Here is a 12912-nt window from a genome sequence, read left to right on the forward strand (position 1 = left end):
AACACTCCCATTTCTGACTCAAAGGTCTGGGGTAGACATGACAGTTTGCATTCGTAACAGTTCCTAATGCTACTCATCTGGGGGCCACACTGAGAACTACCCACTGTTCTAGACAAGCAATTGTGCTCACTGTGTAACTTGACAGACTATTTAAAGGAAGGTTAAGATACAGGCTGAGGGCAATGGCTCATGCCTGTAACCGCAGCATTTTGGGCAGCTGACATAGAATGCTTGAACTCAGGAGTTTGACACCAGCCTGGGCAACATGGCAAAACCCCATCTCTACAAAAAAAATTAGCCAGGTGGCTGAAGTGGGAGGATCACCTGAGCCCAGGAGGTCAAGGCTGCAGTGAGCCAAGATTGTGCCACTGCACTCTAGCCTGGGCAATACAGTGAGACCCTGTCTCAAAAAAAAAAAAAAGCTTTCTTCCACTTCAAAGTAGTTTATCTGGCCAGGCACAGTGGCCCACATCTGTAATCCCAGGCCGAGGCAGGCAGATCGCCTGAGGTCAGGAGTTCGAGACCATCCTGGCCAACATAGTGAAGCCCTGTCTCTACTAAAAATACAAAAAATTAGCTGGGTGTGGTAGTGAGCACCTGTAATCCCAGCTACTCAGGAGGCTAAGGCAGGAGAATCGCTTGAATCTGGGAGACAGAGGTTGCAGTGAGCCGAGATCGTGCCATTGCACTCCAGCCTGGGCGACAAGAGCAAAACTCCATCTCAAAAAAGTTTACCTGAATTCATACACAGCTAATGAAAGGGATACTTACCAAGAACCGCTTTATCCAGATTAATATAAGTGAAAGCCTTTAAATGCAGGGACGAAAGGTATCCCTAGAAGAGAAGGGAAAACACTAATAAGTATAAATCTGTTTATTTATCACATACAGTAGCATTAGGGATTCATTTTCAATTCTGGACTCTACTGAGACTAAACGCAAAGGCAAAAGTGGTAAAATCAAACCTATAAAAACATCACTTCTGGACAACAGCCTAAGCCCACAAGCTCGTGTCCAATATGGGAAGGGATGATAAAGAATACCTCTAGCCATTCAGTGGCACCAACCGATCCAAAGTCTCCAGCACTCCAACTGGCAAAGATAATGCTTCTGCTGGGCTGAAACCCATCTGAAAGAGAAAAAAGTTAGCTTTACCTGAGGAAAGGTTATACACAGACAAGGATGGAAGGTATCCCACTTAAGATGAATCAGAAGGTCTAATTCCAAGATAGCAGATTCCAAAATCTTTTTTTTCTGAGCCAAAAAAGAAAAAAAAAACTAACAAAATCTTTTTTTGAGACCCCAGGTAAAAGAATAAAAGAATAGGAATAATTTTTTTTAAAGTAACCTACAAAGAGCAAGATAGGAGATCTGCAAATAAGATTTTGAGTACATAGCAGGGGCCAGTAGTCACCCTTTCACAATTTCATTCTTGGAGTTCCTTAACTTCTGGACCCAGAGATCATTGAAAACAGTGTAAGCATGATGATGCACATCTTGAGAAAAATCTTCAGAGGTAAATCCAAACATTGGATTTTTAAAAAAATAATTCTAAAATAAAATAAAAATTCACAAATTTAAGTTACAAGAAGAGTTTGCAGAGAAACTATATTTGTGACAGCACCTTTTGAGGTTACATGTATCACACTGCCCTCCATCCCTCCCACTTCCCTCACTGTATCTTTTTCTCCATTAATGTACTCTGTATTAAAGTTAAGCATTGCAGTTTGCCCTAAGACCCAAAGATTCAAGAATGTGACGTGATTTTGAATGTGTGGGTGGGTAGGAGTGTGAAAGAGTGGAAAGTAGGACAGAAAGGCTCAAAAATAAACAAAAGAGGCAGGGCACGGTGGCTCACTAGCAGCATTTTGGGAGGCTGAGGCGGGTGAATCACTTGAGGTCAGGAGACTAGCCTGGCCAACATGGCGAAACCCTGTCTCTAGTAAAAATACAAAAATTGGCCGGGTGTGGTTGTGGGTGCCTGTAATCCCAGCTACTCAGGAGGCTGAGGCAGGAGAATTGCTTGAAGTCGGGAGGCAGAGGTTGCAGTGAGCTAAGTGAGATCACACCACTGCACTCCAGCCTGGGCAACAGAGTGAAACTCTGTCTCAAAAAATGAATAAATGAATAAACAGAACAAAATTTCAATAGCTGTTAGGCCTCAGTACATGAGTAGAGAGGTATGCTACTGCTTTCAAATAGATTGCTTAGGGACTATGATCCACCTTATCACTCTGGATCCACCACACTAAGCACTAGGGCTCAGTAACTCCACTGTCTCAAAGAAACTGGTGATTTCTAGCACAGTTAAGACACTTTATGGAAAGCTGTTTCAAAGGAAAAGGCAGCTACAACAAAAGACAATCTGCCTTGTATTTAAGAACTAGAGTCTAGCATGAGAACCACAGGAATGCAGGCAAAGTGAGCAAAGCACAGTATAACATCTAGAACTGTATGCAGTGCACCAATATTCAAAAGAATCAAAATTTGTACTCTACCTTTTAAGACCATATCTGAGAACATCTGGGCAAGTTTCAATAGGAGAGCTGTGCCTACACCGGATTTTGCAGCTCCAGGGCCCCATGCATCTCTCTGGGCCCCAACTACAACATAGTGATCTTTAAAAAAGAAAAAAGAGGAAGAAAGAACTTATATAATCAGCTTCTAAACTTTTCTAGAATTAGCACATCAGTAGAAAGGTAAAAGCACAGTATATGTATTAAGGATAAAAGAGCCTTACTTCAAATCTGACTAAAAACTCTGGGAATTAAAAATTCACATGAGAATATTAATTTTACCTTACTAGTAGAGCTACTTTTTTCCTACACTACTAATTAAATTTACTGACTACTTAAGTCCAAGGACTTATTTCTTAGTAAGTGTTGGCTGTTTGATTGCATTTAAAGTTAACTCCAGGGACTGGCAAACTACAGCCCGCATGCCCATTCACTACGCACAGTCTGTGCCTGTTTTCTTGCTCCCACAGAGTTGAACAGCTAAAAGAGAGACTGTATAGCCTGGCAAAAGGTTTATTATCTGCCCCCTTAAGAAATTTGCTTATCACTGGTCTAGTCAATAACTTAGAATAGATTTTCTAGTCATAATGGTCAATTTTTAACAAGAATTTCCTAGGGCCTTATTACCTCCCAATAAAACTGACACATAGGCTGGGCGCGGTGGCTCATGCCTGTAATCCCAGCACTTTGGGAGGCTGAGGGAGGCAGATCACCTGAGGTCAGGAGCTCTGACCTCATGGAGCCTGACCAACATGGAGAAACCCTGTCTCTACTAAAAATACAAAATTAGCCAGGCGTGGTGGCGCATGCCTGTAATCCCAGCTACTGGGGAGGCTGAGGCAGGAGAATGGCTTGAACCTGGGAGGCGGAAATTGCAGTGAGCCGAGATCACACCACTGCACTCCAGCCTGGGCAACAAGAGTGAAACTCTTTCTCAAAAAAAAAAAAAAGAAACTAACACATAAACAATTAACTTTAGGACAGACAAGATTGAGCACTTCATAAAACCAAGCCAAGCCAGCATTCCTACACTCGCTCCTTCTCTAGCCACATCCTTAGGAACAGAAAAGAAAACAAAAAAAAAGCGGGGCGGGGGGGGGGGGGGGCGGTCTTTACCTGGTTCTACAAAGCCTTTAATAACTCCAAAGATGTTAAGAATTTTTATCTCTTTCAGCACATTGCTCACAGTGAGCTTCACATTCTTGCTTTCTGAGGTTACCATCCTACATGTAGAGTCTGTTTTCCAGTCAGAGGGACAGTCTCCTTCCATATTCCTAGAATCAGAAAGCAGGCGTAAGTTCTGAGTTATTGTTCCTTGCCCAGGGTTTACTCCTGTCCAGTGAAGTTACAGATTAAGAGGACATATAAACAAAACTTACTCTCAGCCCGGCGAAGTGGCTCACCCCTGTAATCCCAGCACTTTGGGAGGCTGAGGCAGGTGGATCACAAGGTCAGGAGTTCAAGACCAGCCTGACCGACATGGTGAAACCCCGACTCTACTAAAAATACAAAAATTAACTGGGCATGGTGGCATGCGCCTGTAATCCCAGCTACTAAGGAGGATGAGGAGGAGAATCGCTTGAACCTGGGAGGCGGAGGCTGCAGTGAGCCGAGATCACGCCACTGCACTCCAGCCTGGGCAACAGAGCACAAGTCCTGTCTCAAAAAAAAACAAAACAAAACAAAACAAAATAAAAACAAAAAAAAACTTACTCTCTAGTGGTGAACCATTTGCGTCTTACTTTGATCTGCAGGCAGCCAATTGGAAACCATTAATTAAGCAATATTTTAAAACACTTCTCTAACTATGCGCCTTTCTGCCAGACATACTTACGTAGTTTATATTTGGAATACATACCAAGATGGACTCAAAATGAAGTTCTTCTAATATATAAAAGAATATTAATACACTTTTATGTTTCCCAACTGTCACCACTAACAAGGATAGTACACATTCTTAGCTCAGTTATAAAAAATATTCCTCAGCTGGGTGCGGTGGCTCACGCCTGTAATCCCAGCACTTTGGAAGGCCGAGGCAGAATTCCTTGAACCCAGGAGGTGGAGGTTGCAGTGAGCCAGGATCATGCCACTGCACTCCTGCCTGGGCAACAGAGTGAGACTGTCAAAATAAAAAAAAAATCTTGTGCTTCCCCTATCTAATTCCTCTGTGTTACCCAAATAATAGCTGCTCCTAAGGGGGCTTACTTACATAAATATAGGTTGAAACATTATTACTCCCCTACTACATAAGGATAAGATGGGACGCTGGCTTCACAGGTTGGTTACGATTTGTAGGTGGTAGGTAGAATGAGTCAAAAAAATCACCTATGCTAAATGCCTCTTAGCGTTATCAATAGTCATGGTATGTTACACACTCCCCTATGCTAAAGGCCTCTCAGCATGATCAACAGTCATGGTATTTCATATACTCCTTATATACAGATGTTCTTCATTTGAGACTATCAAGTAGAATATATTTTCACTATCCAATTATGTTAAAGAAACAGGATCAGAGAACCTATGTCATACAGGAGATAAATGCTTTCATAAAGGCCTGAAACTAGATCTCCATCCTGTAATAACAGGAAATGATAAATATGTCCACATCCAAATCAAAATTAATGCTACGTACTCTAATGGAACTGGGCTCTGTTTTTAAAGAGAGACACTAACGTTACAGGGAGGATATCCAGAGGAGCGAGCCACAACCATAAATGGTTTCTCTGGAAACCATCATAAGAAGCAAGGCTTCTCAATCTATAGACAAGGTAACTGGAATCATACCGTATTGCTTAGAAGAAAAATCCAGACAAATGGATGTTTCGGGGAATAGGATTTTATCCCAATATGAATTCTAACAGATTCTCTCTACTAACTGAATGGGCTGCTATAGGCATCGTGCTTCAGCACAGAAGTACTTGAGCAGAAGCTATGCCAGGAATCTTGCACAAGGAATTCACTGGGTTTATAAGTCTCCTTATTCTCCTGTGTTTATAAGTCCAAAGTCCATTATTAAGATCTCTTTATAGAGAAAAATTCATTTATATCTGTACCAAGGTAACAGCTAACCATCCTCCAAATTCCCAAATGTGGAAAATTATCATCATGTTTAACATTTTAATCAACATATTACCGTTCTTCCCTAATCATAAAACCTCACTATGCAAGACCGCTTTCAAATAAAAACTTACCCAAACAGCTTTTCTGCAGCAGCTCTGGAGATTGTCTGGACAGGTATATTAGGCAATCCTGATGACCGAGATGGTGGAAACTGAGTGTGATTGAAGGAAGGGAATCCAGGTGTGTAAGGGTCACCTGTCCCCAGATGAGCCTAGGAAAACAAAAGAGCAATTCACTCCATCACATACTTCCTCAAAACTTCTCTGTAAGATTCAGGTTTGGTATAAGGCTGCAGCCCAACCTTAGTTTACCAACTTGAAGCCTCAAAAATCTGAGTGGCTCTACAATGTGACTCCTGTTTTCATGGCATATGGAAATTCTCAAATTCAAGGCACTATTGACAAAGTACTTTTAGCAACAAATAATAAAGCCTCAAAGTCAATGTAATCTATCTTCTTGCTTACTGCTAACGCCCTCCCAGAAAAAAGAGCAGTTAAGGAAGACACAGTGCTATTTCTGCTAATACAGGAATCCAAGAACAACTCAAGGAACTCAAAACGGTGATTTACTCAAGAAATAACTCACATGTCCAAAGAATGAAAGTTCTGCGTTAACAATGGGAAATTTAGTCTGGTCCATGTATATCAACACACCAATTGCATTTAAGCTTTCAGCATTTGCAACCTAAAAGAAAACATATAAAGCTCAGAAAATGAAGATCTGATCATACGAAATGAGAATACATCCTGGACATTATGCTAAAGGCCAAATGGTTACAGAGGACTAAACTTATAATACTTCCAAATATTTCAAATTGTTTATCTGGTAATTTATTAATTGCTTCCTGAAAAATTAACTCACTTGTTTGCAAAATAAGAGTAACGGGCCAGGAGTGGTGGCTCACGCCTGTAATCCCAACACCTTGCAAGGCTGAGGCAGGGGGATCACAAGCTCAGGAGTTCGAGACCAGCCTGGCCAACATGGTGAAACCCTGTCTCTACTAAAAATACAAAAATTAACTGGGCGCAGTGGCTGGCGCCTGTATTCCCAGCTATTTGGGAAGCTGAGGCAGGAGAATCGCTTGAAACCATAAGGCAGAGGTTGCAGTGAGCCAAAATTGCGCCACTGCACTCCAGCCTGGACAAAAGAGCAAAACTCCCTCTCAAAAAAAAAAAAAAAAAAAAAAAAAGAATAACAAAGGCCAGGAGTGGTGGCTCACACCTGTAATCCCAGCAATCTGGGAGGCCAAGGCAGGTGGATCACCTGACGTCAGGAGTTCAAGACCAGCCAGGCCAACGTCGTGAAACCCTGTCTCTACTAAAAATGCAAAAATTAGCCAGGCATGGTGGTGGTGGGCACCTGTAATCCCAGCTACTCAGAAGGCTGAGGCAGGAGCATCACTTGAACCTGGGAGGCGGAGGTTGCAGTGAGCTGAGATCACGCCACTGCACTCCAGCCAGGGTGACAAGAGACTCCGTCTCAAAAAAAAAAAAAAAAAAGAAAAGAAAAATAACAAAAACCCATCTAAGACAACCACTTTTTTGAGTCTCACTGTCACTCAGGCTGGAGTGGCACGAGTCACATCTCACAACCTCCAGGGCTCAAGCAGTCCTCCCACCTCAGCCTCCTAAAGTGTTGGGATTACAGGTGTGAGCCCTGCCACTTTTTTTAAAAATGCAGAAATCACCACTGTCTTTTGATATGTTCCACTCTAGTTCCTTGTGTATGTTTGGCTATTAATTTTCCTTTTTATAAAACATGCTTTTAGCTGAATTCTGTATATGCGTAAAACTGAGTTATACAGAGAAATAGCTTTCACTTAAGCACTTCTGATTAGGTAAGTGGAACTTACTTCATTTGTTGAGCATTTTAATAAATTATATTATCTGGTATGAGAGTTTAAGATTGCTGATTTTCAGAATGTAAGAATATTAACAAGAAATATCACTTACCTGAAGAGTAAGATACCAAAAGTACTGTATTTAATATTATAATAACTCATACTCACCTTTTCTGCAAAGGTGATTTTCCCTGCTCTGACAATCACTATAGATCCATTCACAGGAGTGTATAAATCCTCAAAATCTTTTTTAGTACCAAAATTAGCATGGACCAGTTTACCCTAGAACAAAGACATTAGATTTAATGAGCATTATGGTATCGGAACAGCTCTAAAATCTTGAGACAGAAGAGTGTTATAGATCAAACCTAAGACAGGCAACCCAAGTAAGAGATAAAAGGAGGCCAAGGCCTAAAAAAGACATGAGTTCTAAAAAACTTTACAACTTTTAGGTCAGAGCTATTGGAATAAAATCAAGATTTTTGGCCTCCTATGTCTTTCATGCTTTTATCCCATGCTGCCTTTCATCTGAAGGGCATTTAGATTAAAGAGGCCTATGTAGGCTGGTCATGGGACTGGAGGCCTGGAACAATCTTAGCCTTGAGGACATCATAGAAATAGGTTTTAACTGAAAGGTCTGATAATAAATCTGTCCCAAAATTAAAACACCATCTATTACAACAAAGTGACTTGCATACACCAACTTTAGATGTGTCATGATGTTCCTAAGCTCATAAGAGTCCAGATGAACAGCCATAAACTGACACTAACAACCAAGCCCTCAATACAGAAAGCTTGAAGTTGAACAAAAATCTTCAATGTTCTTTAACAGAACAACCTACCCATCTCTAAACTCCTGGCTTATAGGCAGCCAGGCAAAGGGATAAAGCACAAGTATCCAGAAAGGCAAGGAATCAACACAGAACTGCACCAGCCCCGAAAGGTATCCACTAGAGATACGCCTGACTTACAAATGTGATTTTTTTTTTTTTTTTGAGATGGAATTTCGCTTTTGTTGCTCAGGCTGGAGTGCAATGGCGCAATATCCGCTCACTGCAACCTCCACCTCCTGGCTTCAAGCGATTCTCCTGCCCCAGCCTCCCAAGTAGCTGGGATTACAGGCACCCACCACCACGCCTGGCTAATTTTTGTATTTTTAATAGAGTTCACCATGTTGGCCAGGCTGGTAGCTCTGACCTTAGGTGATCCACCCACCTTGGACTCCCAAAGTGCTGGGATTACAGGCGTGAGCCACCACGCCCAGCCACAAATGTGATTTTTAAGCTGAAAATTATTCTATCTATCTGTTCTCTATTTCTGTGTTAATTTGACTATATTTGCCTAAATTTAAAAAGATCAAGGGCTGGGCGAAGCAGCTTCCTCCTGTAATCCCAGCACTTTGGGAGGCTGAGGGTGGTGAATCACCTGAGCCCAGGAGTTTCAATTGAAGACCAGCCTGGCCAACATGGCAAAACCCTGTCTCTACCAAATAATAATAATAATAATAATAATAATAATAATAAAATAAAAAATAAAAATTAACTGGACATCTCAGCTACTCAAGAGGCTCACTTGAGCCTGGGTGGTGGTGGAGAATGCAGTGAGCCAAGCTCACGCCACTGCACTCCAGCTAGGGCAACAGAGTGACACCCTGTCTCAAAACAAAAATAGAAAAAGATCAAGCATTAACGAATCAAGCTAAGACTAGGCCCCAGCCAAGATGGATATTTACATCTGTCCCCACAGGGAGGATATGCATTTGTTTAGCAAATACTACTATGTATGTCAGGCATTCTCCAAAGCTCTGCAACATGGCAGTAAATAGAACTAACCCATGATTCTTCATCTGGCTCACATTCTAATGGAAACAAAGGCATAGATAATGTCAGCTGCTAGCAGTACTATAAAGAAAAAATAAAACAGGACATGGGGAAAGTGATTAGAGAGAGAAGACAATGCATGTTGACTGTGTCATTAGAGGGTTGAAAACCAAAATATCTCATGATCATTTACATTTTACAGGTAAATTTATAACTCCTAAGAACAGAAAAGATGAGTTTTGAATGATTCAATAGGGAAGAGTCTCATGCACTGTTTTGCTTTACTTACAGTAACTGTTGCAGCCTTACTATACGCCACATAACCCCCAGGATTCTCCACCAGGTAAACAAGTCTACCGTTCTTATCAACTATGATCACCGAGTTTTGAGCGCTGTTAAAAAGATTAAGTTAAAATAAGCCTAAGGTCATCCTTCCAAAAAACACAATAGCTTACATTTAGTATGTCTTGCATTATTTGGCTTGAGGAAATTTACCTCTAAATCTTAAGCTTGATTTTTATTTTAAAAGCCTTTGGGCCGCATGCGGTGGCTCACGCCTGTAATCCCAGCACTTTGGGAGGCCCAGGCGGGCTGATCACCTGAGGTCAAAAGTTCGAGACCATCCCACCTCTACTAAAAATACAAAAATTAGCTGGGCGTGGTGGCGTGCGCCTGTAATCCCAGCTGCTCTGGAGGCTAAGGCAGGAGAATCACTTGAACCCAGAAGGCAAAGGCTGCAGTGAGCAGAGATTGTGCCACTGCACTCCAGCCTGGGCAACAGAGCGAGACTCCATTTCAAAAAAAAGCCAACAACACTAACAAAAAGTCTTTGCTATATTTAGCACACCTGAAAATAGCTACTTGTATAAAAATAAGTTTACCATCTTTCAACATACCTGTCTTTGACCTGAATCTTAACAAAATGTTGATCACGCCAGACTTTGCTGAGTTTAAATTCACGAAATTGATTTTCAACATACAACGCAAGATTTTCATCTTTTTGAGATCCAGCCTCACGAGGGACATATGAATTTTCATTCAGCAGCCTGGAGGAGAAAATGCCTTTTAAATGAACTTAAGTTTACTTTAAAATAAACATTTAAGTCAAGGATTAAACAAATTGTTTTGAAAGCAAAATATTATCCCTCATAGTTCAGATAAATGAACTGTGACCCAAAACTTCTAGACTGACCAGAATATCACAAAAGAAAAAAAATTTTGCCCCAAATCTTGTAACTTCAAAGCTTCTTTACCCACTACAAAGCACTCCTTCAAGAGCCTCATCATAACACAATGTATCTGCTTAGGATAGTTTTAGGGGAAATGAGTAGCTTCCAGATCTACTATAAAATCTAAGATAGTAATACTGTGCTGAACAGAGTGCATAGTTTCAATTCTCACCTACTTGTGAAGCATCTGAATACCCTGAAGCAGAACTGCTCCTTGGTCCGATCTCCCATACTTCTTTCTATTTACTCAGCATATTAGTTCTTACATTTTTGTGGGGTGGACTATACTCTCACTTTAACCATAAGGTCTGGTGTACAGTAAATAAACACAAAAGCATCAACTAGATGAAGTAGAAAATGCCATAACTTAAGACTAAAGAATTATAGTACCACTGTAAGTGTAGGAAGCTTGCAAAAAGGAAAAGATAAATTTATTCTTTGCACAGAGGCATGTATGTGCAAAGATAGTAAAACTCTATGGACAAGTGTTACAGCTCTTTTAGAATTTGTCTAGCATGCTTTCTAGTTTTTGCCAGAAAGCCCATTACAAATAAAATAAATAAATAAATATAAAATAGAAATTTGGCCAGGTGCAGTGCCTCATCCTGTAATTCCAGCACTTTGGGAGCCAAGACAGGAGGATCATCTGAGGTCAGGAGTTAGACACCAGCCTGGCCAACATGGTGAAATCCCGTTTCTGCAAAAAAAAAAAAAAAAAAAAAAAACCCACAAAAATTAGCAGAGCATGGTGGTACAAGCCTGTGATCTCAGCTACTCAGGAGACTGAGGTAGGAGAATTGCTTAAACCTGGGAGACAGAGGTTGCACTGAGCTGAAATCGTGCCACTGCACTCCAGCCTGGGCAACACGTAAGACTCCATCTCAAAATAAATAAGTAAATAAATAAAAATCTAAGAACAGACCGGCCTGGGAGACATGGTGAGACTCCATCTCTTAAAAAAAAAAAAAAAAAAATTAGCTGGGTGTGGTGCTGCGTGCTTATAGTCCCAGCTACTCAGGAGGCTATGGTAGGGGGATGAAGCTGCGGTGAGATGAGAGCACGCCACCGTATTCCAGCCTCCACCAGAGGGAGACATTGTCTCTGGATACTGACTGGCCTAGGGGTTAATGGGTGAGTATCACAGAAATTAAGAAGCACTAGAGACTTAAGGCAGGCAGTTACCCATGATCAAGGAGATGAAAAAGGCTACTTCTGGCATGTGTTGCTTCCTAAAACAGAGAAAAGCTACTGATGTCCTTGTCAGCAAAGCAGAGCTTAGTACAACGTTACAAGAGGTTAAGAAGAAAAATCAGAGCCAGAGAATGACAGCAAGCAATAAGCTACAAAGATGGGGAAAACATCAAGGGCCTATTAATTTTTTAAGAAAAAGGAGACTCCCCAGAGAAGTTCTACCTTTTCCCCTACCAGTATAGTTTCAGTTTTTTACAGGCCCCTTCCCCTCTTTAGCTAAACATGACAAGTCTTGTCTTCTCTAACAAGCCATTCCCCACAGTGTCACCATTATTGTTTCCCCGTGGCCTATCATAATTCTTGAATTACTTGTCTAGATACTTGCACAGCAGCTGGCACTCACTTGATGGTGCCGGTGAAGTCTGTGCTGTCCAGTTTCTCCGACAACTTTCTCTTCAGGTCATCCCAATATAAGCGACGTGCTGCAGGGAAGTCCTCTCCTGGCTCCTCCCTCACTGGAGACTCGGTTCCTGCCAGTCTCTCACACTCAGTTTTTGGTTCTACCCCTTTACAATAGCCCAAGTAGCCAATCATAAATCCTAAAGAGACAAAGTTCCAGAGCTGAACTCAGAATTTCATTTGTAATCTATCCCTGTTAATCTGTTAATATTTTCAGGTAAGCCTTGAAAATACTGGTTTTCATCAAATTCTAAGTAGTTTTAAAGTATATAATGCATCTCAGTTTTGTATACTTTAAACCACTTAATAAATTATATACTAGCTTTATTTCAAATAGCTACCTATTCAAAACATAGGTAGTTTTTTCCAAAAGACCCCCTTGAAACATGAGACTGAGCTGCTGCACCGCCAGTGTCCTGCGGATATTTTCTAGCGTAGCATTTGCTTCCTGGTGGAGTGGGAGCAAACAAAAAAATACATAAATAAAAAGAAAACACTTGCACGTCGTATTGAAATAATTCATGGGTCTCTCTTTCCAACCAGATTAAATTCAATGACAGGTATAGAATCTACTCATGATTGTCTTCCTAGTGGCACTTAAAAAGGCATAAAGTGGACGGGAAAGTGGCTCATGCCTGTAATCCCAGCACTCTGGGAGGCTGAGGCGGGCAGATCACGAGGTCAGGAGTTAGAGACCAGCCTGACCAACATGGTGAAACCCCGTCTCTACTAAAAAT

The 12912-nt window shown here is 41.2% G+C and overlaps 1 protein-coding gene and 1 pseudogene across 5 annotated transcripts in view, besides 1 other annotated feature; one reads left to right on the forward strand and one right to left on the reverse strand.

Moving 5' to 3' along the window:
• The window catches only part of TFRC (transferrin receptor), a 32807-nt gene that overhangs the window by 12527 nt on the left and 7368 nt on the right, over positions 1-12912 (reverse strand). For 3 of the 5 annotated variants that reach the window (NM_001313965.2, NM_001128148.3, NM_003234.4), the window contains 10 exons: positions 12120-12315; positions 10193-10342; positions 9586-9688; positions 7645-7758; positions 6222-6320; positions 5708-5847; positions 3633-3790; positions 2499-2618; positions 1044-1129; positions 772-835 (listed from right to left, as the gene is read on the reverse strand). In NM_001313965.2, the coding sequence (NP_001300894.1) occupies positions 772-835; positions 1044-1129; positions 2499-2618; positions 3633-3790; positions 5708-5847; positions 6222-6320; positions 7645-7758; positions 9586-9688; positions 10193-10342; positions 12120-12310 (1225 nt within the window). In that variant the 5' untranslated portion in view covers positions 12311-12315. Of the gene's footprint in view, positions 1-771; positions 836-1043; positions 1130-2498; positions 2619-3632; positions 3791-5707; positions 5848-6221; positions 6321-7644; positions 7759-9585; positions 9689-10192; positions 10343-12119; positions 12316-12912 lie in introns of those variants that run through there. The other 2 variants (NM_001313966.2, XM_047448786.1) reach the window with 2 other exon arrangements.
• RNU7-18P (RNA, U7 small nuclear 18 pseudogene) lies at positions 11010-11068 on the forward strand (annotated as a pseudogene).
• Positions 11483-11532: a silencer, noted in NCBI's record as "silent region_15051". NCBI's record gives its function as "represses an Ori minimal core promoter by ATAC-STARR-seq in GM12878 lymphoblastoid cells {active_cell/tissue: GM12878}" and the evidence as "EXISTENCE:reporter gene assay evidence [ECO:0000049][PMID:35858748]".

The sequence above is a fragment of the Homo sapiens genome, chromosome 3 (genome assembly GCF_000001405.40).
Source record: "Homo sapiens chromosome 3, GRCh38.p14 Primary Assembly".
NCBI lineage: Eukaryota > Metazoa > Chordata > Mammalia > Primates > Hominidae > Homo > Homo sapiens.